Source organism: Homo sapiens, chromosome 17 (assembly GCF_000001405.40).
Source record: "Homo sapiens chromosome 17, GRCh38.p14 Primary Assembly".
In the NCBI taxonomy this organism is placed as follows: Eukaryota; Metazoa; Chordata; class Mammalia; order Primates; family Hominidae; genus Homo; species Homo sapiens.
This window is the reverse complement of record NC_000017.11, coordinates 17,647,891-17,673,637: the sequence shown is the minus strand read 5'-3', so window position 1 is coordinate 17,673,637 and position 25,747 is coordinate 17,647,891. Positions and strand designations below refer to the sequence as shown.

General features: G+C 50.1%; 4 annotated features.

The window, feature by feature from the left end:
• Nucleotides 5,162-5,661: an enhancer, noted in NCBI's record as "H3K4me1 hESC enhancer chr17:17571291-17571790 (GRCh37/hg19 assembly coordinates)". NCBI's record gives its function as "activates a minimal SCP1, AML or CMV promoter by ChIP-STARR-seq in primed H9 embryonic stem cells {active_cell/tissue: H9 hESC(primed)}" and the evidence as "EXISTENCE:reporter gene assay evidence [ECO:0000049][PMID:30033119]".
• Nucleotides 5,662-6,163: an enhancer, noted in NCBI's record as "H3K4me1 hESC enhancer chr17:17570789-17571290 (GRCh37/hg19 assembly coordinates)". NCBI's record gives its function as "activates a minimal SCP1, AML or CMV promoter by ChIP-STARR-seq in primed H9 embryonic stem cells {active_cell/tissue: H9 hESC(primed)}" and the evidence as "EXISTENCE:reporter gene assay evidence [ECO:0000049][PMID:30033119]".
• Nucleotides 9,816-9,955: an enhancer, noted in NCBI's record as "active region_11804". NCBI's record gives its function as "activates an Ori minimal core promoter by ATAC-STARR-seq in GM12878 lymphoblastoid cells {active_cell/tissue: GM12878}" and the evidence as "EXISTENCE:reporter gene assay evidence [ECO:0000049][PMID:35858748]".
• Nucleotides 10,446-10,535: an enhancer, noted in NCBI's record as "active region_11803". NCBI's record gives its function as "activates an Ori minimal core promoter by ATAC-STARR-seq in GM12878 lymphoblastoid cells {active_cell/tissue: GM12878}" and the evidence as "EXISTENCE:reporter gene assay evidence [ECO:0000049][PMID:35858748]".

Below are 25,747 nucleotides of genomic sequence, written 5' to 3'. Positions count from 1 at the left end.
CCAGCTTGCATAAGCAGACCTGACAGACAGAAGAGATGCAGATGGGGGGTGGACAGATGCTGGTGCTAGGTAGGGTGAGATGCTTGACTGGGAACGAAGTAAGTGGCCAGGACAGTACTAAATATATTCATGTTTTAACAACTCTTAACTTCCAACTCAGATAATGAATGCTCAGCTATGGGGCACCCTAATCATACAATTAACTGTATCAGCCCAAGATCTCTTGCATCTGGAGTTAGCGAGGGATAAAATTCCATCTTGTTTAAGCCGGTGTTATTGTGGATCTCTGTTATAAAGCCTCTGTCCTACCTAATACATCTAGTCTTTTGGTGGTAATTACAATCAATTTTCCTGTGGGCACCATTCTTTCCCACTTATGGCCCATGTGGTTCAGGCTGGGCGGTCCCTACCTCTAGGATGCAGAGATTGTCACGTGACTCAGGTTTGACCAAACTGCCCCATTTGCCTGGCCACAGGGATTGGTTCAGGAATGGTTCGAATGACCTAAGCCCTCCAGGAGTTTTGCTGGAAGCACTGAGCTTTGCTGGAGCCTCCAGGGGTAGTTGTTGAGACTGTGGGTCTGAAAACAGAGCCAATGGGGAAGAATGAGGAGTTGAGAGACATGGAGACACCTTCTGGGCACCTGGATTCAGCTGCGCCTGAAGCTCAGCAACCCCAGGACTTTAAGTCACTTGAGCCAATACATTCACCTTTTATCATAAACCAGTTTGAGCTGGTTTTCTGTCACTTGCCTGAAAAAGAACTGAGACTTTACACAGAGAAGAAAAATTTGGAATGGGGAGAAAAGGAGAATGAGCACTGTCTTCAAAGATCTAAAGGGCCGCCTGGGCTTTGTGTGATCACACACAGACTGTGTGGTTCCAGTGGGCAGAGGGACTGGACCAGGCTTCTGGCTCTTTATGAGGAACTTTCCCACAATTAGAGCTGTTCAAAGAGGGCCCCAGGCAATTTCAAGAGAGAGAGAGGAAGCTTCCCGTTTCTGGGGGTATGCAAACAGAGCCAGGATGTGGTGAAAGAAACTCAGGCTGACTAGGAGGACAGAGATCCTGTAATTTGTGAATGTGACTTAGTACCTCCAACCAGCTTTCATGTAGAGCCGGAGAATATCAGTCACACCCAATCTTTAATTATAAAATATTTAAGATATTCAAGAAGGTATGGAAGATAATTCACTGATCACTCCTGCATTCACCACTGTCAGCTCAAGAAATAAAACCACCAGGACAGCCGAGCTGCTGACCACAGACCCCTCCACCCTCCTGATCCCCCGCTGGTCATTAAGCTTTGACTACCCATGCACAGTCCTAAGGGATATGTACTTCAGAGGTCTTTTTTAAATAGAGGGGTTAGAATTGCCATGCTTTCAGGCCCTACAGATTTTTTGTTATTAAATAAAAGTGCTTAGCTACTAATAAAACATGTGTTTTCTTTCTTTTTTAATAATAGAAAAGTATGACAAGAGCAGTCCCTGAACAGTTTTTCATCTTGTTTATATGAAAGCCATTTCCTCACCTCCCCTCCCCACCCCCGCCACCCAGCCTCCCACACCTCGCTGTTCCCAGCTCTGGATTCCATCTCTGGGCTCTATTCCCTGCTGATAATCACAATTCCAGGATTGAGACTGAGATAAGGCGTATCAAGCACTTTGCACATTCCCTGGCATATAGTAAGCACTAATTTTAGCACTAGTTGTCATTATCACTGTCATTGCCATCTCGGGAATTGCTCCACCCCCATCCCTTCCCCTTGGCAGGAAGTTGCCAACCCTCCACTGCCTCTGCTCACCCACCTTCTTCAGGTTGTCCTGAAATTCCACTGATTTTACCCTTCACTACCTGCCAGACCACAATCTCTGCAACTGGTTTCCTTGCCTTCGGTCTCAAACCCCCATTCACCCTCCTCACGGTGGCCCAAGCAATTGTTCCTTTCCAGTATGTGGCTCCCTGGCTTGCCCCCACCTCCGTGATGCCCCCAAGGCCCCATCCCTGCAGACTGACTTGCAGGTTCCTCAACTACCTCTTCCCTTACTCCTCTGAGCAGCCCCACGTGCTGTTCCCTCTGCCCAAGATGCCCTTCCCCTCTTGCTCTGTCTGGCTCCTCCCTCCATATCCTTCCAGGCTTAGCTCAAGAGTGGGCTCCTCCAGGATGCCCTCCCAGGCCCCCCGGTCAAATCAGGCTCCCGCTCCCTGGGCAGTGTGCCCAGGCCTACTCTACAAGCCTCTAACAGCCTCTGGGATCATGATTCTTTGTGAGTCTCCCTTGCTCCAGGTGGCGAATTTCTTGAAGGCAGGAGGAATGCTGTCTTCCTCAGCAAATCGCTGTGGCATAGCAATTTAAAAAATAGTATCCCTGACTTTTCTAAGCTTTTTGCTCCTTCCAACTCGCTTATGCTTCCCAAGAACCCGGGGGGGAGGTCCTGAACCAGCCCCATTTTACAGATGAGGAGAGGAGGCAGCGTGTGTGTGTGCTTCCTGCGGCTGCTGGAACAAATGACCACAAACCCAGTGGCTTAAAACAATGCACATCTATTCTCTTACAGTTCTGCACGCCGGAAGTCCAAAGTCAAGGTGTGGGCAGGGCTGGCTCTTCCTCGAGGCTCTGGGGGAGAATCCTTGCTTCCATCCTCATATCACAGCAACCTCCGCTTCTATCGGCGTAGCTCCTCCTCTCAGTCGAAGCTCCCTCTGCCTCTTTCTTATATACAAGGACACTTGTGATTACATTTGGGGCCCATCCAGATAGCCTGCAACAATCTTAAGATCCGTAATCTAATTACGTCTGCAAAGACCCTTTTGCCACCTGAGGGAGCACTGGTAGGCTCCGGGGATGAGGGTGTGGGGTCCTGGGAGGCCTCTGTGCAGCTGCCTCAGAGGGTAGCAGTGGCACAGCTGCAATGTGGACCCGGGGGGTCTGGCTCCAGATCTCGGTGCCATAGCACTTCCCTTGAAGATGGTTCCCTGATTGTGGGGCTGGCCGTATGGCAAGGCATTCCAGGCAGAAGGAAGAGAGCAGCCCCGGCCTCCAGGCAGGAAGGCAAGGGTAACATGGGAGGAAAATCTGGCCTCCGCCAAAGTGAGGCACAACCAATATAGCTTTGTGGGCAGAGAGAGGGCACAGGTTACTTGGACCCTGATGGGGCATTGTTCTCCTTGGCCTGCATGCTGCAGGCCAAGGCTATGGAGCCTCCATGGAGGGCGGGGATGCACCTGTTCCTCCCACCTCCTCCCCATACCTAAACACCTTCAAAGAACAAAGGAAGAAAGGAGGCTAAGGAAGAAGGGAGGCTGTGTGTCCCTTCATGGATGTAGTGTTTAGAACGTGCCAGGCCGTGAGCTAAACTATTTGTGTCTGTCTCTCATTTAATCTTTACAACCATAATACCTTTTATACCTATTTAATAAATGCACAAATTGAGGCTTATTAACAATGGCTAGTATATCTTGAGCATCAGCCACAGGCCAAACTCAACATAGGTTTGTGCTTATGTAATGCTCACAGCTCCCAGCAGCCCTGTATGGAGGGGTGCCATCTGTCTGTATGGAGGGGGAAACAACTCATTGATATAAGTGAGCAGTTACAGAATGCTGAGGACGGTGTGGGCAGGTGGGAGGCCTCAATCGGGCACTGGAGCTGTAGTTTGGCATGAAAGTGGGGGACTGGCAAGGTCGAGACCAGGAGCAGATGGGGCTTGGGTGGGTGCAAGGAGCCCCCCAGGCCCCTCCCTGTCAGCCATGAGCAGCCGGGAGGTGTGCAGGCCCTGTAGGGAACCAGCATTGATCCCAGGCTGTGGGATGGGGGTGGGGAGGGAGTAGGAGAGGGGCTGGGGCAGGGAGTGGGGAAGGGAGGATGGGATGGGGAGGGAGTGGGAGTGGGGGAGGGGAAGGGAGGATGGAGGGAGGAGGGAGTGGGGATGGGGGTGAATGGGAGGGAGTCAGTGAGGTCCTTGAGGGTCACCATAGTAACAGGAGCCAGCTCTGCTCTGAGGCCTGAGTCTGAGCCACCACGGGGAAGGAGATAAAAGGTTTTCTATCGATCTCTGTTGGGAAAGTCATCAGTGATAAGCTGGGCTGGAGGGGCCGGCTGGCGGGAGTGTGCATACTGGCTGCACACGCATGGCTCAAGGGTGCCCAGGGAGCCCCCACAGACTGCGGTCAGACTGTTTGGGAGGTGACCGCTTGAGCCAGGGAGGGGCTGGGCTGGAAGCCACGTCTATCTGCTTCTCCTTTAACGGGGGCAGCTGGCTGGCTCAGCCTCCTGCCTCAGCCTTCCCTTCTGCTCAGTGGGGCAGTTGGGCCTAGGCTGCCTCCCTGGGGTGGGGGATGAGTCAGGGATGCAGAGGCGGGAGGGAGAGAGGAGCTCAGATGCCGTGGCTGCTCTGTGGTCTGCACTGGAGGTTTGGCTGCAGGAAACTGGTCCTTTCTCTTCAGAAGTGCAGGCCCATCTGGGGCATCAGCAGCCACAGCTGGGGTGGGCTGGCAGTCTTGGGTGAGGACAAAGACTCCAGCTGCCCAAGAGCCAGGGCCAGACTGTCGTCCAAGGCCCCACTGAGCCAAGGGCATTCAGCTCAGGGCCCGTGTGTGTGTGTGTGCGCGCGCGCGTGTGCGTGTGTGTGCGCAGGTGTGGGCATGTGCAGCTGTGCCAGTGCCCCGCTAGGCCTTGAGTGTGTACAGGTCACCTGCCCCTGCCTGTCTCTGTCTGCACTCTTTCCCTCCACAGGTGTTAGAGCCTGCAATGCCCCGGATGCTGGGCTGGGTAGGGGTGCAACAGTGACTGAAGCAGACACAAATCCATGTCCTCATGGAGCCAACATTCTAGTGGGTATCTGGGGCAGGAGAGAGACAGACAAAATAGAAAGGTAAATATAGGAGCTATGGATGATGAGTGTCCCAGGGGGTGCGGGAGGGGGTGGGAGGGGGAAGCAGCTTGTTAGTTAGGTGAGAGAAGGTGGTCTTAGAGCCTCTAGAGACCTGAGGGAGGCAGGGGACAGATGTGTGGGGAGCTGGGAAGAGGAGACAGCAGGTGTAAAGGTCCTGAGGCAGGAGTGTGCCGGGAGCAGTGGGGAGGCCTGTGGGGCTGAAGAGCAATGCATGGGGGCAGAGAGCAGGAGGCAAGGACAGAGAGGGTCAGGACCAGCTTGGGTGGCCACAGTGTACAGTGGGGCCTCTGGCTCAGACCCTGAGTGACGGGGTCCTTCAGGGAGAGCTGGGATCTCCCCTAGGTCCTCACAGTGCACCCTGGCTGCTGAGAGGGGCCAGGGCAGGAGCAGGAGGCCTGGGAATCCAGGGGGCCCTGGCCAGGGTGGGGCTGTGGGCAATGAAAAGATTCCAATTCCAAATATACCTTGAAGGTAGAATAGACAAGAATTTCTGACGTGGGGTGAGGAGAGGAGCCCAGGACACTCCAGAGTTTTCCACCTGAGCAAGAGCAGGGTGTGGCCTGAACAACAGATGGCGTGCCCAGGCCCTCTGTGGCATCTAACTGTTGTTAGAGGCCCAGGTGTAAGGAGGGAGGGGTGTGCATCTGTCCACACACGTGGGTGGGGTGTGTGCAACTCTGTGTGCAGCCCTAGAGGGCCAGGCTGGGGTCTCAGGGCTGCTGGTTGGAGCCTTACCCCATTCCTGATGGGGCCAGCTCCCAGCCACCGCTGGAGGCAAGAATGGCCCCTTCCTGGCTTGCTCCTGGGGGGCACTCAGCTCTTTCTGCTCTCCTGAGTCCCTAGAAATGAGGGTGCACTCAGCCATGCCACAACCCCTGCCCTTCTCCTTCCTGCTGCCCTCCAGGGCCTGTGGGATGGGGGCAGCAGACAAAAGGGAGAAAAAACCAAGGAGGGAGGGGCCATGGCAGGCCCCTGAGAGTCATCTGTGGGGTGAACACAGCCCTTTAGACATAACCCTCCCAAGACCCCCACCTGTTGCTGGGATGGACGTTGTTGGAGTCTGTTCTGGGGCCCCTGAGAGGAGGAACCTGCCCAATAGCAGAGACACTGACCCCCACGCTGAGGTCACCTCCCTCCAAAGCCAGAAAAAAATCCCATTGATCCACTCAGCTCTCAAAGTTCATCTACCCTCCTTCTCCATTTCCCCAAATCCTGGTCATTCTCCAAAACCAGCTCACCCTCTGGCTTCTGGGAACCTGGTGAGGCACCAAGAAGGTGGGTGCTTGAGTCAGCCAGAGGGCTCATGCTTCTGCCCTGCCACCTGTTGCTGTGTGACCTTGGGCAAGTCACATCACCTCTGAGCAGGCACTTCCTCCCCCTGTAACTTGGAGCTGCTAACAGCTTCTCTGTGGGGCCGTTCAGAGGTAAGCTGCACAGAGGACTTAGCTGTTGCTTCTGTGAGCCTTGGTTTCCTAATCTGTCAAGGGCTGTGGGAAGATGAAGTGAGACACTGTGGAGGCCCAGCTTGGAGGCCACGGTGTGCCTCCCCTGAATTCATACCTTCCTGCTCCCAGGACCTACCCATCCGTCTCTCTGTGCTCCTCACTCTACTTCTCTGAGAGCCCCACTGTTCTGGGGAGCTCTCACCAGCCATGGTCACAGGCTCTTGGGGCCTATGGTGTCAGCGCTGATGGGGTCTCAGGTCTGTCACTGTACCCGGCCCCACAGCCAGAGCTAAGTTTGGGAGCTGGCCACGGAGTGTCTGCGGCTCATGATGGTAGGCTGAAAAATGGCCCCTAAAGATATCCAGGTCCTCATCCCTGGAACGTGTGGGTGTCCCCTTTACAGCCAAAAAATGGGCTCCTGCAGATGTGCAAAGTTAAAGGTCTTGAGATAAGGAGATGATCCTGGGCTATCTAGGGGTTCCTTAAATGCTGTCCCTAGTGTCCACAACAGAGAGAGGCTGAGGGAGACTCGACAACACAAGCACGGAGGAGGAGACTGCGCGGCCACCGAGGCAGAGACCAGAGTGATGCAAACACAGCCAGGGATCACCAGGGCAGCTGGCTGAGGCTGCAAGGGGCCCTGCACAGGTTCTCCCCTGGCGCCTCCGAGGGGGCACAGCCCCACAGACGCCATGACTCGAGACCAGTGATACTGATTTTGGACACCCAGTCTCCAGAACTGCAAGAGAATCATTTCTGCTGTTCTAAGCCCCGACATGTGTAGTAACTCTTTACAGCAGCAACAGGGAACGAACACTCACAGCTTAGGATTTCCTGGCTACCGCCCAGACCTCGCCCTGCCTCATGTCCATCCAGAGCTGGGCGTGAGTGTGTAGGGTGTGCAGGTGGCCATTTACTCCTGTAGGCCAGCAGGGGCCCGGGGATCCTGGGCAGGTAGAGGGGATGGAGGATGGACAGGCTCTGGAAGCCCAGACCACGTGGATGTTCTGTGAACTGCTGGACCCTCAGCCCAGGCCCAGGAGCATGGGAGGAGTAAGCCACAGAGCATGTGTTGGCTGCTTGTGTCCACACACAGCTGGGGGGTGTGTTTGGTGCATGTCCACGTGGTGGGTTGTGCGGGTATAGAGGTGGGGAGTAGGCACTTGTGCACCTGGTATAGACCCAGTGGAAAACCCAGGTGTGCCAGAAACAGCCAGCTTCCTTTTTTCTTTTTCTTTTTTTTTTTTTTTGAGATGGATCTCACTCTGTCACCCAGGCTGGAGTTCAGTGGTGTGATCTCGGCTCACTACAACCTCCACTTCCCGGGTTCAAGCGATTCCCCTGCCTCAGCCTCCCAAGTAGCTAGGATTACAGGCGCCGGCTGCCACGCCCGGCTAATTATTTTGTATTTTTAGTAGAGATGGGGTTTCAGCATGTTGGCCAAGCTGGTTTCGAACTCCTGACCTCAAGTGATCCACCCTCCTCGGCCTCCCAAAATTCTGGGATTACAGGCATGAGCCACCACGCCCAGCCCCTTTTTTTCTTTAAATCATCTTACATCCTGTTCTAAGCCCCTATCCTGCTGGCTGGTGGGCAACTGAATCTCAGCCATTATTGGGAGCTTCTTTCTTCTCCAGAGCCACACAAAGGTCCCAAGGCCATGATGAGTCTGGCCACCGGGTCTGGCAAAGGAGGCCAGCAAAGCTCTCTGAGACAAGCTAGGGACCAGGCTGCCTGCACTGGAGCATGGGGTGGGGTTAGTAAAACAGAACAAAACCAAAATTAATATCTGCTGTTTGTCTAGAACCCTGGAGCTTTGCTGCTCAATATGGTTGTCATTAGCCACGTGTAGCTAGGTACATTTCAATCAATTTAAAAGAAATAAAACTTAAAATTGTGTGTGTGTGTGTGTGTGTTTCTTTTAGAGTCTCACTCTATCACCCAAGCTGGAGTACAAATGGTGCGGTCTCAGCTCACTGCAACCTCCACCTCCCGGGTTCAAGCGATTCTTCCGCTTCAGCCTCCCTAGTAGCTGGAACTATAGGCACATGCCACCACACCCGGGTAATTTTTGTATTTTTGGTAGAGACAGGGTTTCACTCTGTTGGCCAGGCTGGTCTTGAACTCCTGACCTTGTGATCCGCCTACCTTGGCCTCCCAAAGTGCTGGGATTACAGGCATGAGCCACCGCGCCCGGCCTTTAAAATTGTTATTATTATACTAGTCACTTTCTGGTGTTCAGGAGCGGTGTGTGGCCACCCTGTGGGACCTGGTATAGGAAGTTCTATTGGGCTGTACTGCCAGAAGCGTTCAACCACTGACATGAGTTCTGCCCCTCTGAGTGGGGTGACCTGCCCATTTACAGATGGGGATGCAAGGATCAAGCACAAAATGACTTACCCAAGGTCACTGGCAGCAGTTGGCACCTCCAAGCTCCATGGGCAGTGGCACCCCGGGCCACGGGGTAGAGTGGGTGCTTGCCAATGTTGGCTGCTGAGTGAACGTGCCAGTGCCGTCCTCTGCCTCCTTGGAGGAAAGCTGCCTGTGAAGAACAGTCCTGCCCTCGTTCAGAGGTACGGCCTCCTGATCTCAGCCTGGTAAGGCACTGTGTGGCTCTAGCCCTACCTCAGGTACCACACTTTGCCTCTTTGGGACCCTGTGTCCCCGTCCATGAGATGGAGATTGTGACCACTGCATAGGGCTGCCTGGGATTTCCATGAGTTAATGTCTGTGAAGTGCATAGTACAATCTAACTCAATCATACGACGTTTGAGAGATGATGGGATTTGGCACACAGGAATGAGCACTGCGCCTCCTCAGAGTGACTCCCAGAGGTCAAGTTGGGATTTACTTAGACTGAGACCCGCAACCTTATCATGCTTCTAGCATTCATCTGACAAACATCTATTAAGCTTGCTTTTGGGGGCCACGACCGATGTAAGCCTGCAGCTGTGAGGTCTACCCTAGGCTAGGGAAGGTTATTCTGAGAAGAAAGTGAACCCCAAGGAAGGGGAAATCCAGAAGAAGATTCCTGATGACATCTGACAGCTGGATCCAGCTGTTCCTGAAGCTTTTATATTCCTGTTTTGTTTGCCAATAATTTTTTTTGTCATTTACAACTCAAAGCCAGGCCGTCTGGTCCAACCCCTTGTCCCCTGATACTTGATGCTTCTCCATAGCAGCTATGACAGTCTCTGCTTGGATGCTGCTCATGATGGGGATCTCACTACCTACCAAGGGAGCTCTACAAGGGCAGAACCAACTCTGGTGCAAGTGAGAGCTGATAATCTATTGCTCTTGTCTGGAAATGGTGTGCACAGCTGGGAGCTCCCCTGGATTGGATTCAGGGCAGTGGAAAGAGGACCCTTCATGGTTCAGTAGACCTGAATTCAAATTTCAGGCCTGGTGGTGACTCACTGTGTGACCTGAGTGAGGCAAGGGACTTCCCCTACCTGAACCTCAGTTTCAACATCTGTAAAATGGTCTCCCTGGCCACACTGATTTGGTGAGGACACCACGAGGATTAAGCAAGAAAATGTGTGTGAAGCTCTGGGCGCACGCCAGTGTGTGGCACACAGGGGACACCTGAGGGCCACATCCCTCCTGTGGGTAATGCTAATGGACACTGCACACCCATCTGAGAGGGTCCACTCTGCGTCCATAAGAGGTTGGCACTGGGGAGTCCGCACTGGGCCAGGCTGCTCCTGCTCTGCGGAGCGTCTGCTGCAGCTGTGACTCACAGCCCGACCACACTCACAGCCCAAGACTCGGAGCCGTCTGTTGTTATGGCGACGCAAGCCCACTGGAGTCCTGGGCTGTCAGTCATCAAGGTCTGACGCTGGGGGTGTGTTTTGGCGTGTGGGTGTGGCCTGTGTGTTTGTGTAGGGGGATGGGCGTGTGAATGCTATTCCTGCGTGTTCAAGGCAGTGTGCTGGTGTTTGTGTGTGGACTTCCTGTGTGTGCAAGGCTGGGCATGTCTGCATTGAGGGCGTTTGTCTGTGTGTGGTGTTGAGCTGTGTGTGCGGTCTGGGTGTCTGTGGGCTGTGTGTGTGTGTAATGTGCCTTAGGAACGCTGGCCCTGAGGCAGGGTGGACAGGAGGGTGGCCCAGGGAGGGGTGTAGGCCTGGGTGTCTATCGCTCTGACCTGGTGGCCCTGGGTTGGTCACTGCACCTTTCTCAGCCTGTTTCCCCCTCAATAAGCACAGCAGGTTGCAAAGGGCACTCACACTCGCTATTTCATTTAATCCTCCTGTGATCCTGTACCAGCAGCTGCTCACTCAACTCATATTTAGAGTCCACTCTGTGTCAGGCCCTGGGGATACAGCCATGAACAGAGACTTCCTCCGCTGAGGGTCTCCAGTCTCCAGTCTGGTGGGAGATGGACAATACACAAACAAGCAAACAAAACCAGAGACTCCAGTGGGTGCTGGGAGAAGGAACAGCAGGAGGAGGGCACAGAGAGTGATGGGGTGGAAACTGAGGACAGGGTGGTCAGAGAGGTGACTTATGAGCAGAGGTTCTGAGGAAGGAGGCCAGAGTCATGGGAAGAGCATCGCAAGCATCGCAACAGTAAGTGCAGAGGCCCTGAGGCAGGTGGAGGTTCATGTATCTGTGGCCCAACGAGCAGGCCGCGCACTGCAGCGGTGTGGGTGGGATGGGCAAGGCCACTGCCATTTGCAGTTTGTGGATTCCAAGGCAAGTGCACTGGTGAAAACAGCCCATTGTTCATCCACTGATGAATGGAGAGGCAACATGCGGTATGTCCAGACAAGGAAATAGTATTTGTCAATAAAAAGGAACAAATGGCCAGGCGCGGTGGCTCATGCCTGTAATCCCAGCACTTTGGGAGGCCAAGGCGGGCAGATCACTGAGATCAGGAGTTTGAGACCAGCCTGACCAACATGGAGAAACCCTGTCTCTACTAAAAATACAAAATTAGCCAGGCTTGGTGGTGCATGCCTGTAATCCCAGCTGCTTGGGAGGTTGAGGCAGGAGAATCGCTTAAACGCAGGAAGCGGAGGTTGCAGTGAGCTGAGATCGTGCCATTGCACTCCAGCCTGGGCCACAAGAGTGAAACTCCGTCTCAAAAAAAAGGAACAAGCTACTGGTACGTACAAAAATATCAGTGAATCTTAAGTGGATTATGCTGAGCAAAAGTAGCCAGCCTTGAAAGGCTGTAGGCTGCAGGATTCTATTATGTGACATTCCGGGAGTGACAAAATGATAGGGACAGAAAACTAATCAGCGGTTGCCAGGAACTGGGGATGGGGAAAAGGCTGACCTGACCACAAGGGGGCTTGAGGCAGTTATGTGATTTGACACATTTGTCAAAATCCATAGAATTGTATGCTAAAAATTGATGAGTTTAATTGTATGTAAATTATACGTAAATATACCTGGCCACACACCAACACCCAACATCTCACAAAGCTTGGGGCTGAGTGACCCTCCCACCTCCCGGAGAGCTCGTGAGAGCAGCTCTGGGAAACACACTTTTCTTCAGGTCCTGTCATTTCATTTTCAACTGCCTTGTCCTTAATCTGTCTTTGCCGTGAATATAGTAGTTTATTTTCTTTTTTGTTTATGTTTTTGTTTTTGTTTTGTTTTGAGATGGAGTTTTGCTCTTGTAGCCCAGGCTGGAGTGCAATGGCGCGATCTCAGCTCACTGCAACCTCCGCCTCCTGGGTTCAAATGATTCTCCTGCCTCAGCCTCCTGAGTAGCTGGGATTATAGGCGCATGCCACCACGCCCAGCAAATGTTTGTATTTTTAGTAGAGATAGGGTTTCACCATGTTGGCCAGGCTGGTCTTGAACTCCAGACCTCAGATGATCCACTTGCCTCGGCCTTCCAAAGTGCTGGGATTACAGGCATGAGCCACTGTGCCCAGCTGGTAATTTCTCAGTAAATATTTGATCAACCGATCTGGAAATGCTTCGCATCCAAAACTGAGGGCCCTTGTTCTCAGCTGCTGAGGAAAGACCAGGCAAAAGCGTCAGGGGCTTGACCAGGAGGGGTGTGTGCGTATGCTCGTGTGTGTGTGTGTGTGTGTGTGTGTGCACGTGCGCATGTGTGTGAGGCAGGGCTCAGTGCACACCATGCTGAGTGTTTTTAGCAGAATGTGGTGGTCCATGGAGGGCATGAGCACCCCAGTTCTCCTTCCTGGCACCAGCCAAGGTGAAGTGCGCTTCTTCACGCGCTTCAAGGTCAAGGCTGTCTGTAACTTGCTTTGGCCAATGAAATGTGAGCAGAAATGAGGATGTCACTTCCCGGAAGCAGCTTCCGGAGTTGGTGTGCAATTCTTCACTTTCCTTTCCCTGAGCTGGTGAGACCCCATCAAAACAGAATCTCAGTCAGCCTGGACCCAGACTGGCTGCACCATGTAGTGTCTTCCTGCTCCCTGGTCAGACGTAGCATGAGCAAGAAATCAACTTTTGCTCTTTATGTATGTATGTATTTTTTTTAATAGACTTTCTTTCTTGTTGGAGCAGTTTTAGATTCACAGCCAAACTGAGTGGAAGTTGCAGAGATTTCCCATGTCCTTGCTGCCCCCACATGTGCACAGCTCCCCACCCCCATTGTCAGCACCCCCCGCCAGATGGTACATTTGTTCCAGTCCTGAACCTACATCGACACATCATTATCACTGGAAGTCCGTGGCTTAGGTTAGGGTCCCTCTTGGTGTTGTTCATCTGTAGTTATAATGCCATGGGTCATACTGACTTGTTCCACGGCCTTGCAATTTCTCTGTGCTCTGCCTATTCATCTTCCCCATAAACCCTGACTTTTTTTTTTTTTTTTTTTTTTTTTGAGACAGAGTCTTGCTCTGTCTCCCAGGCTGGAGTGCAGCGGCACAATCTCGGCTCACTGAAACCTCCACCTTCCAGGTTCAAGTAATTCTCCTGCCTCAGCCTCCCGAGTAGCTGGGACTACAGGTATGCACCACCACGCCCGGCTAATTTTTGTATTTTTAGTAGTATGGAGTTTCACCATATTGGTCAGGCTGATCTTGAACTTGTGACCTCGTGATCTGCTCACCTCGGCCTCCCAAAGTTTTGGGATTACAGGCGTGAGCCACTGTGCCCTGGCCACAAACCCTGACCTTTTTACTGTCTCCATAGTTTTGCCTTTTCCAGAATGTAACATATTTAGAATCACACAGTATGTGGCCTTTTCAGATTGGCTTCTTTTACTTAGTAAAATTCATTTAATATTCCTCCATGTCTTTTCGTGGCTTACTAGCTCATTTCTTTTTAGCGCTGAATAATATTTCATTGTCTGGGTGTGCCACGGTTTATTTATCCATCCACCTACTGAAGGACATCTTGGTTGCTTCTAAATTTTGGCAACTATGAAAAAAGCTGCTATAAACATCTGTGTGCTGGGTTTTTTGTGGATATATGTTTTCAACTTATTTGGGTAAATACCAAGAGGCATGACTGTTGGATCACATGGTAAGAATCTGTTTCATTTGTAAGAAAATTGCGTGTCTTAACTCAGGCTGCCATAACAAAATACCACAGGCTTTGTGGCTTAAACAACAGAAATTTATTTCTCACAGTTCCGGAGGCTGGAAGTCCAAGATCAAAGTGTGGGCAAGGTAGGTTTAATCCCGCAGCTCTTCTCTGGGCTCAGAGATGGCTGCCTTCTCGCTTTGTCCTCACAAGGTGGGGTGGGGAAGAGAGAGAGGCAGCCAGCTCAGAGCTTGCTCTCATGTCTCTTCTTATAAAGACACTCATCCTATTGGATTGGGGCCCCATCCCTATGATCTCATTTAGCCTTAATCACCTCCATAAAGGCCCTGTCTCCAAATAAATACAGTCACAAAGTGGGCTGGGGCTTCAGCATACGAAATTTGAGAGAACAAAAACATTCAGTCCATAACACTGCCAGACTGTCTTCCAAAGTGGCTGTATCATTTTGCATTCCCACCAGCATGAGTGAGAGTTCCTGTGGCTCCACATCCTCACCAGCATTTGATGTTGTCAGCATTCTGGATCTTGGCCATTCTGATAGGTGTGTAGAGGCTCTCACTGTTGTGTTAATTTGCATTAACCTGATGATGTATGATGTTGAGCCTCTTTTCATATGCCTTTTTGCTTTCTGTGTATCTTGGGTGAGGTGTCTGTTTAGATCTTTTGTTTTTTAGAGATGGGGTCTTGCTATGCTGCCCAGGCTGAACTTGAACTCCTGGGATCAAGCAATCCTCCTGCCCTACCCTCCTTAGTATCTGGGACTACAGCAGTATGCCACCACATCCATCCCTATTTTTTAACTGGATTGTTCATTTTCTTACTGTTGAGTTTTAAGAGTTCTTCATAAATTTTGGATAACAGCCCTTTATCAGATATGTCTGTGGCAAATATTTTCACCCAGTCTCTGGCTTGGCTTTTCATTCTCTTGACAGCCTTTTGTAGAGCAGAGCAGAAGTTCTTTATTTTAATGAGGTCCAACTTACTAATTCTTTCTTTCACAGATTGTCCCTTTGGTGTCGTATCTAAAAAGACATTGTGCGACCTTGATTGATTGATTGATTTATGGAGACAGGGTCTTGCTCTGTCACCCAGGCTGGAGTGCAGTGTGGGCAATCACAACTTGCTGCAGTCTTAAACTTCTGGGCTTAAGTGATCCCCCTGCCTCAGCCTCCCCAGTAGCTGGGACTGCCAGTGTGTGCCACCATGCCTGGCTAATTTTTAATTTTTTTGTAGAGACGTGGTACTTCACTATATTGTCCAGGCTGATCTTGAGCTCCTGGCCTCAACTGATCCTCCTGCCTCTGCCTCCCAAAGTGCTGGGATTACAGGCATGAGCCATGCACTGCCCAGGTGCAAACTTTGTTCTTAAAAGCTGGCCAGGCACAGAGGCTCAATGCCTATAATCCCAGCACTTTGGGAGGCCGAGATGGGCAGATCACTTGAGGTCAGGAGTTCAAGACCAGCCTGGCCAACATGGTGATACCCCATCTCTACCAAAAAATACAAAAATTAGCAGAGCATGGTGGCAGGTGTCCGTAGTCCTAGCTACTCAGGAAGCTGAAGCAGGAGAATTGCTTGAACCTGGGAGGCGGAGGTTGCAGTGAGCCGAGATCATGCCAGCCTGGGCAACAGAGTGAGACCCTCTCACCACTCACAAAGCTGCAGCTGGAGCCAGTGACACTGCTGTAGGGACACGTGCCTTTGCAGCAGGGAGGAGCTTCTCCCACACTTTCCCACCAGAAAGCATTCTGGTCACACATGTCAGTGAATCTAATGGTCAGAGCCAAGTTCACATCTAGAACCGAGCTGCAAGGGAGTCTGGGACTATGATTTCAGGTTTCCAGACTCACTATTCAGGAAAGCATATGAAAAGGAGGTAGGGACAGGGGCTGTAGGCCACTTGACTTTGGTCAATGCAGGGGGGCAGTGGGAATTGAGGGGGGGTCACCACTGCAAATGAGAAGAGGCAGAGCATGAGACATGGGAAGGATACCAGGAGGGGTGAGCAGGCTCAGACTGGGTAGAGGGTTGAAAGGAAGAGGGTGCCCCAAGGAAAGAGCAGAGGCCAGAGGTTGGCACTGGCCAGGTGGAAAAGGCTGGGGATGAGATGAGAGAGGGAGGGGGTAGATTACAGTGTGACCCTGGATGTAATGGGTTGAATAGTGTCAAAATTCATGTCCAACCTGACTGTTAGGATTCGACCTTACTTAGAAACAGGGTCTCTGTAGATATAATTAGTTACAGATCTCAAGGTGAAATCATTCTGGATTTAGCTTGTAATCTTAGTGCTTTGGGAGACCACTGAGGAAGGAGGATCACTTGAGGCCAGGAGTTCAAGGCTGATCTATCATCGCACCACTGCACTCCAGCTTGGATACAGCACTGCACTCCAGCTTGGATGACAGAGCAAGACCCTGTCTCAAAAAAAAAAAAAAAAAAAGAGAAAAAAAAAAAAAAAACAGGGGAGGACACAGAGACACACATCTTCCCATGTGAAGACTAAGGCAGAGATTGAAGTGATGCAGCCACAAGCCAAGGAATGCTGGGAGGCAGGAAAAGATCCTTCCCTAGAGCCTCTGGAGGGAATGCAGCCCTTTCAGATACCCTGATTTTGGACCTCCAGCTCCAGAACTTCAAGAGAATAAATTTGTTGTAAGCCACCTTGTTTGTATTGCTTTGTTACAGCAGCCACTGAAAATGAATACACTGGCCGAGTGAGAAAGTTTTGATGTTTGTCCCCTCCACATTTCATGTTGAAATGTGATCCCCAATATTAGATATGGGGGCTGGGCATTGTGGCTCACACCTGTAATCCCAACAATTTGGGAGGCCAAGACAGGTGGATTGCTTGAGTTCAGGAGTTCGAGACCAGCCTGGACAACATAGTGGGACCCCATCTCTAAAAAAAAGATCCAAAAGTAGCCACATGTGGTGGCACATGTCTGTAGTCCCAGCTACTTGGAAGGCTGAGGTAAGATGATTGCTTGAGCCCAGGAGGTTGAGGTTGCAGTGAACTGTGGTCGCACCATTGCACTCTAGCCTGGGAGACAGAGCAAGACCCTGTCTCCAAAAAAAAAAAAAAAAAAATATATATATATATATATATATATATGTGTGTGTGTGTGTGTGTGTATATATATGTGTATATATACACACACATATACACACACACATATATAATGTGTGTGTGTATATATATATATATATATATATATATATATATATACCTATTTTATTTTATTTTATTTTATTTTGAGACGGAGTCTTGCTCTGTGGCCCAGGCTGGAGTGCAGTGGCGTGATCTCTGCTCACTGCAAGCTCCGCCTCCCAGGTTCACGCCATTCTCCTGCCTCAGCCTCCTGAGTAGCTGGGACTACAGGCACCTGGCACCACGCCTGGCTAATTTTTTGTATTTTTAGTAGAGACGGGGTTTCACTGTGTTAGCCAGGATGGTCTCGATCTCCTGACCTCGTGATCCGCCCGCCTCGGCCTCCCAAAGTGCTGGGATTACAGGCGTGAGCCACCACGCCCAGCCTATATACCTATTTTACACACACACACACACACACGTGTGTGTGTGTGTGTGTGTGCATATATATATGAGTATATGAGGTGGGGGCTGGTGGGAGGTGTTGGGGTCATGGGGGGTGGATCGCTCATGAATGGCTTGGTCCCTCCCTACAGCAATGAATTCACACGAGATTTGGCACCTCCTTTGCTTTCTCTCCTGCTCCCTCTCACCATGTGACACACCTGCTCTCTCTTCACTTCCCACCATGATCAGAGGCTTCTTGAGGCCCTCACCAGAAGCAGATGCAAGCCCTGTGCTTTCTGACCAGCCTGCAGAGCCGTGAGCCAAATAAACCTCCCTCCCCTCCCTTCTCTCCCTCCCTCCCTCCCTCTTTCTTTCTTTCCTTTCTCTCTCCCTCCCTTTCTTTCTCTTTCTTTCTTTCTTTCTTTCTTTCTTTCTTTCTTTCTTTCTTTCTTTCTCTCTCTTTCTCTCTCTTTCTGTGTTTCGCTCTTGTCGCTCTCTCTCTCTCTCTCTTTCTCTCTTTCTGAGTTTCGCTCTTGTTGCCCAGGCTGGAGTGCAATGGCATGATCTCGGCTCACCGCAATCTCCACCTCCCAGGTTCAAGCAATTCTCCTGCCTCAGCCTCCTGAGTAGCTGGGATTACTGGCATGTGCCACCACGCCCAGCTAATTTTGTATTCTTTGTAGAGATGGGGTTTCTCCATGTTGATCAGGTTGGTCTCGGAGTCCCGACCTCAGGTGATCCACCTGCCTTGGCCTCCCAAAGTGCTGGGATTACAGGCGTGAGCCACCGCGCCTGGCCAAACCTTGTTTCTTTATAAATTACCCAGCCTCAGATATTCCTTTATAGCAACAGAAATGGACTAATACAGAATTGGTACCAAGGAGTGAAGTGTTGCTATAAACATACATGAAGATGTGGAAGCAGATTTGGAACTGGGTAATGGCTAGAGGTTGGAAGAGTTTGGAGGGCTCAGAAGAAGACAGGAAGATGAGGGGAGGTTTGGAACTTTTTAGAGAACTGTTAACTAGTGTGACCAAAATGCTGACAGAAATATGGACAGTGAGGGCCAAGCTGATGAGGTCTCAGATGGAAATGAGGACTTTATTAGAAACTGGAGCAAAGGTCACTCTTGCTATGCTGTAGCAAAGAACTTGGTTGCACTGTGTCCATGCCCAAGGGATTGGTGGAAGATTGTACTTCAGAGTGGTGATCTAGCGTATTTGGTGGAAAAAAATTCTTTTTCTTTTTTATTTTTTTTGAGATGGAGTCTCTCTCTGTCACCCAGGCTGGAGTGCAGTGGCACGATCTCAGCTCACTGCAACCTTCACCTCCCAGGCTCAAGCAATCCTCCCACCTCAGCCTCCTGAGTGGCTGGGACCACAGATGTGTGACACCATGCATGGCTAATTTGTATTTTTTGTAGAGATGGGGTTTGCCATGTTGCCCAGGCTGGTCCCAAACTCCTGAGCTTAAGCGATCTGCCCGCCTTGGCCTCCCAAACTGTTGGGATTATAGGCATGAGCCACTGTGCCCAGCCTGGTGGAACAAATTTCTAAGCAGCAAAACATTCAAGATGTGGCCTGGCTGCTTCTAACAACCTGTGATCAGATATGGGAGCAAAGAAATTACTTAAAATTGGAATTTATATTTAAAAGGGAAGCAGAGCATAAAACTGTGGAAAATTTGCAGCCCGCCTATATGGTAGAGAGGGAAAGAACATTTACAGGAGAGGAATACTAACTGGCTGTGGAGCAAGCCCTTTCTAGAGAAATTAGCTTGACTAAAAGAGAGCCAGGTGCTAATAGGCAAGACTATGAGAAAATGGTCTCAAAGGCATTTCAGAAGTCTTCAGGGCCAGGCGCACCTGTAATCCCAGCACTCTGGGAGGCCAAGGCAGGAAGATCGCTTGAGGTCAGGAGCTTGAGACCAGACTGGCCAACATGGTGAAACCCCATCTCTACTAAAAATACAAAAATTAGCTGGACGTGGTGGCAGGCACCTGTAATCCCAGCTACTCGGGAGGCTGAGGCAGAAGAATCACTTGAACCCAGGAGGAGGAGGTTGCAGTGAGCTGAGGTCGCACCACTGCACTCCAGCCTGGGCAACAGAGTGAGACTCTGTCTCAAAAAAATAATAATAAAAATAAAAAATAAAAAGAAGTCTTCAGGACAGTATTTCCCATCACAGGATCAGAGGCCTAGGAGGAAAGACTGGTTTTGGGAGCCAGGCCCAGGGCCCCGTTTCCCTGTGCAGCCTTGGGACACTGCTCCCCACACCCCAGCTGCTCCAGCTCCAGCGTCAGTTCAAAGGGCTCTGGGTATAGCTCTGACTGCTGCTCCAGAGGGTGTAAGCCATAAGCCTTGGCAGCTTCCATGTGGTGTTAAGCCTTCAGGTGCACAGAGTGCAAGAGTGAAGGAGGTTTGGCAGCTCCGCCTGGATTTCAGAAGATGTATCATAAAGCCTGGGTACCCAGAAAGAAGCCTGCCACAGATGTGGAGCCCTTGCAGAGAACCTCTGTGGGGCAGTGTGGAGGGGAAATGTGGGGATGGAGGCCCCATACAGTCCTCACCAGGGCATTGGCTAGTGGAGCTGTGGGGAAGGGTCATTGCCCTCCAGACCTGAAAATGGTAGGCTCACCAGCAGCTTGCATCCTGAGCCTGGAAAATCCACAGGCTCTCAACTCCAGCCCATGAGAGCAGCCATGGGAGCCGCATCTTGCAAATACACGGGGGTGGAACTGCCCAGGGCCTTGGAAGCCCCACCCCTTGTGCCAGTGTGCTCTGCATGCCGGACATAGACTCAAGCATTATGTTGGAGCTTTAAAATTTAACATCTGCCCTGCTGGGTTTCAGACTTTCATGGGGCCTGTTGCCCCTTTTTTTGACCAATTTCTCTCTTTTGGAATGGGAATGTTTACCCAATCCCTGTACCACCATTGTATCTTGGAAGTAAATAACTCAGCCTCCCAAAGTGTTGAGATTACAGGGATGAGCCACTGTGCTCAGCCAACCCGGTTGTTTTAAAGAGCCTGGCACCTCCACCTCTCTCTCTTGCTTCCTCTCTTGCCATGTGATATGCCTTCTCCCATTTTGCCTTCCACCATGAGTGGAAACTTCTTGAGGCCCTCACTGGAAGAAGATGCCAGTATTATGTTTTTGTACAGTCTGCAGGACCAGAAGCCAAATAAGCCTCTTTTCTTCATGAATTACCCAGCCTCAGGTATTCCTTTATAGCAACACATGTGGAGAAATACACCAAATAACTGCTTCCTTAACCAGGGAAGCCCCCAACCAGGGACCGAGCACAGTGGGGTCCTGGAGCTGTCTTTGTCTAGCATGGGACTCCTAGAATGGGCAGTCTTGGCTTTGGAGCTCCTGACTGGGGAGATTTACATCATGGTCTGAGGCTCCCCCCTGCCAAGGCCTGCTTTCTCCCCTTTTATTTATTTTTATTTTTATTTTTTGAGACGGAGTTTTGCTCTTGTTGCCCAGGCTGGAGTGCAATGGTGCGATCTCAGCTCACTGCAACCTCTGCCTCCCAGGTTCAAGCAATTCTCCTGCCTCAGCCTCCCTAGTAGCTGGGATTACAGGCATGCATCACCACACCTGGCTAATTTTTTGTATTTTTAGTAGAGACAGAGTTTCACCATGTTGGTCAGGCTGGTTTCGAACTCCTGACCTCAGGCAATCTACCCACCTCGGCCTCCCAAAGTGCTGGGATTACAGTGAGCCACAGCGCCCGGCCTCTCACCTTTTATTGTTCACAGGTGTTCCTCACCAATATGCTTCTTACACTCTTGAATACAGCTCAGGAACTGAGTCCTGGGTGATCTGAACCAACACAACCAATATCCAGTGTGCAATTTATCATGCCCAAGTAAATGCCCCTGGCAGCTGAGCCACACAGGGTACAGAGAGGAAATGTCCTTTCCTGCACTACTCTGTGTCCTCCCTGGAGCTAGAAGTGATTGCGTTTGGTTTGGTTTGGTTTGGTTTGGTTGTACTTGTCCCAAATTCAAACCCAAGCCTTCTGCCAGTAGTTTGAATCTACTCTCACATCTTTTTTACATATTGTGTGTTCTATAAATTTCATCTTGATGAAATCACTTGAGGGACCTTCTGCCCAGCTCCAATCTGGTTTGACTGCCCTTTCTGCCCAGGGCACAGATTAGATCATTCGGCTATTCCTTCAAGCAACACCTTCGGATCACTTCTTGTCTCTCTCCAGAGGTGGATTTCCTGCTTTTTTTGTCCTGGGATTTCCCTTTCTTGAGAAGGGTGGAAGATGTGCTCTACCAAAATGAGAAAGAGAATAGGGAAGAAAGGAAGGGAAGTAGATTTATTGAAACTTTTCATGTTTGAAAATGCCTTTAGTCTATCTACCTTCCTACTTGATTTGTAGTTTGGCTGGGCATAAAATGAAGATTGGAAATACAGTCACACATTGCTTAATAATAGGGATACATTGGCCGGGCGCGGTGGCTCACGCCTGTAATCCCAGCACTTTGGGAGGCCGAGGCGGGCGGATCACGAGGTCAGGAGATCGAGACCATCCTGGCTAACACGGTGAAACCCCGTCTCTACTAAAAATACAAAAAATTAGCCGGGCGTGGTAGCGGGCGCCTGTAGTCCCAGCTACTCGGGAGGCTGAGGCAGGAGAATGGCGTGAACCCAGGAGGCGGAGCTTGCAGTGAGCCGAGATCGCGCCACTGCACTCCAGCCTGGGCGACAGAGCGAGACTCCATCTCAAAAAAAAAAAAAAAAAATAATAATAATAATAATAATAGGGATACATTAGGAGAAATGCATCATTAGTTAACCTTGTCATTGTGCGAACATCATAGAGTGACTTACACAAACCTATATGGTACAGCCTACTACACCCCTATGCTGTATGGTCTAGCCTGGTGCTCCTAGGCTACAAACCTGTACAGCATGTTACTGTAGTGAATACTGTAGGCAATTATAACACAATGGTAAGTATTTGTGTACCTACACATATTTAAACATAGGAAAGGTACAGTAAAAATATGGTATCTTATGGGACCACCACTGTATATGCAGTCAATGGTTGACTGAAATGTTGCTATGCATTGAATGCCTGTAGTTTATTTCAAGGGCACAGTTCCATCATTCTCTAGCTTCCAGTGTTGCTGCTGAGAAGTACGAAGTCAGTCTGATTCCCATTCCTTTGTATAAGATCTTTCCCACATACCTGCCCTTTTATATTTTCCATTTTTGGGAACTTGTAGAACCTTCTCTTTGTTGCTGATCTTCACAATGATATGCTTTGATAGGAATCTGTTTTCATCCATTATTCTGGCTTCCTGGTAAGCCCTTTCAACCTGTAAAGTCTTGTCCTTCAGTTCTGAGACATTTTCTTGGATTATATAATTGATGATTTCTTCGGCTCCATTTTCTTTTTTTTTTTTTTTTTTTTGAGACAGAGGCTCACTCTGTTGCCCAGGCTGGAGTGCAGTGGCACGGTCTCGGCTCACTGCAAGCTCCACCTTCCAGTTTCATGCCATTCTCCTGCCTCAGACTCCTGGGTAGCTGGGACTACAGGCGTCTGCCACCATGCCTGGCTAATTTTTTTGTATTTTTAGTAGAGACGGGGTTTCACCGTGTTAGCCAGGATGGTCTCAATCTCCTGACCTCGTGATCTGCCTGCCTCGGCCTCCCAAAGTGCTGGGATTATAGGCGTGAGCCACCACGCCCAGCCCCACTTCCGCTCCATTTTCTGTGTTCTCACTTTCTGGAACTCCTATAACTCAGATATTCTCCTATAACTCAGATCCTTCTGTCTGGATCTGTGACATTTCCTTATCTTTTTTATTTTCCATGTCATTTCTTCAATTTTATCTTCTTCTTCTTTTTTTTTTTTTGAGATGGAGTCTCACCCTGTGGCCCAGGCTGAAGAGCAATGGTGCAATCTCAGCTCACTGCAACCTCTGCCTCCCAGGTTCAAGCAATTCTCCTGCCTCAGCCTCAGAAGCTAGGATTACAGGCATGTGCCACCACACCTGATAATTTTTTGTATCTTTAGTAGAGACAGGGTTTCACCATGTTGGCCAGGCTGGTCTTGAACTCCTGACCTTGTGATCCACCCACCTTGGCCTCCCAAAGTGCTGGGATTACAGGTGTGAGCCACCTCACCCAGCCTTCAATTTTATCTTCTAATCCTTATGTTGAGGTTTTAATTTCTATATGTATGTGTGTAAGTGTAAATATATATTACATATCCACTCATATATTGTCCATAAATATGATATATAAATAACATAATTTAGATAATATTAATAATATATTAATAATATGTAGATAATTTTCATGGGCTCTTTTCTGTTCTCTGAATATTCCTTTTTTCTTACATCCTGTTCTTGTTTTGTGGTTGCAATTCTCTTATCTCGCTGAGGATATTGATGAGATTGTCACTCATTTTTGAAGTTTTCTTCTTCCAATAGGGTCTCGCTCTGTCACGCAGGATGGAGTACATGATCCTAGCTCACTGTAGGCATGATCATAGCTCACTGTAACCTCAAACACTTGGGCTTAAGCCATCCTCCCCGCTCAGCCTCCCCAGTATCTCCCAGGACTACAGATGCACACCACCAAGCCCAGCTAGTTTTAAATTCTTTTTGTAGAGATGAGGCCTTGCTATATTGCCCAGGTTAGTCTTGAACTCCTGGCCTCAAGTGATCCTCCTACCACAGCCTCCCAAAGTGCTGGGATTACAGGCATGAGCCACCACACCTGGCCCTCTTTAGGATCCTTGAGCACTGATTATACACTCCATATGCTCTGCTGAACGTTTACAATTCTGCTGTAAGATATATTATCTCCATCTTACAGATTCATAAAAGATAATTGGTTGGGCGAGGTAGCTCACTCCTGTAATCCCAGCACTTTGGGAGGCCAAGGTGGGTAGATCACCTGAGGTCAGGAGTTCGAGACCAGCCTGGCCAACATGGTGAAATCCTGTCTCTACTAAAAATATAAAAATTAGCCAGGTATGGTGGCAGGCACCTGTAATTCAAGATACTGGGGAGGATGAGGCAGGAGAATCTCTTGAACCCAGGAGGCAGAGGGTACAGTGAGCCAAGATCATGCTAGTACACTCCAGCCTGGGCAACAAGAGCTAAACTCTGTCTAAAAAAAAAAAAAAAGAAGATAATCAAAGTTCACCAAGTTGCTTTTTTCTGTTTGTTGACTTTGGTCTTTCTTGTCAGGGGCTTCGCCCAGATTTTGGGTGGCATCTGGACTCTGTCAGAGCATTGCTGACTCACTGCCTTACTCGTGAGTCTGTCGGGCTGCTGTAGCAGAGCACCAAAGACTGGGCGCTCCAACAACAGAAGCTAATTTTCTCACAATTCTGGAGGCTGGAAATGTGAGACCGCAGTGTCAGCACGGTTGATGCCTTCTGAGGCCTCTCTCCTTGGATTGTAGACGGTGTCTTCTCTGTGTGTCTTTACATAGTATTCCCTTTCTATGTGTCTGTCCAAATTCCTGCTTCTTATTAGGGTGTCAGCCGTACTGGATTAAGGCCATCTGTGTGACCTCATTTTACCTTAATCCCCTCTTCAGAGGCCCTATCTCCACATACAGCCACATTCGGAGGTACCGGGGGTTAGGACTTCAACATGGGGGTTTGGGGAGACACAGTGCAGTCCGTAGCACCCCACATAGTCCTGAAGCCATGGCTCTCTGGCCCTGGTTCCACCACTTCTCAGAAATAGCTCCTCCCAGAGTCACCAGCCACCTTCTTATTGTCAATTTCCCCGGAGAGAGGCTCCTCTGTCCTCTCTAGCTGGGTCTTTCAGCAGCATGCGACCCCGTGGCTCCCCCACTTCTCCCGAGAGCCCACCCTCTGTCATTTGTTGGGTCTCCTTTCTCACCAGTTTTCCTCCCACATCTCTGCGTTGTCCTGTGTCCTGGGCTTCTCAGCCTGTCCCTCAAAATTTGGGCAGCTTGGAACCCTGTAGTCTACTCCTTCCACTCCACTAAGGCTGTGAGGTCCAGTGACCACCTGCCTCACAATGACATAGGGTAGGTTGGGGGATGCCTGTTAAAAGCCAGATTCCAGATGAGCACGGTGGCTCCTGCCTATAATTCCGGTACTTTGGGAGGCAGAGGTGGACGGATCGCTTGAGCCCGGGAGTCTGAGAACAGCTTGGGCAACATGGTGAAACCCCATCTCTACAAAAAATACAAAAATTAACCGGGTACAGTGGCGCATGCCTGTAATCCCAGCTACTCTGGAGGCTGAGGCAGGAAAGTCACCTGAGCCCGGGAAGTTGACGCTGCAGTGAGCTGAGATCACGCCGCTGCACTCCAACCTGGGTAACAGAGTAAAACACTGTCTCCAAAAAAAAAAAACCAAAGTCAGATTCCCAGGCCA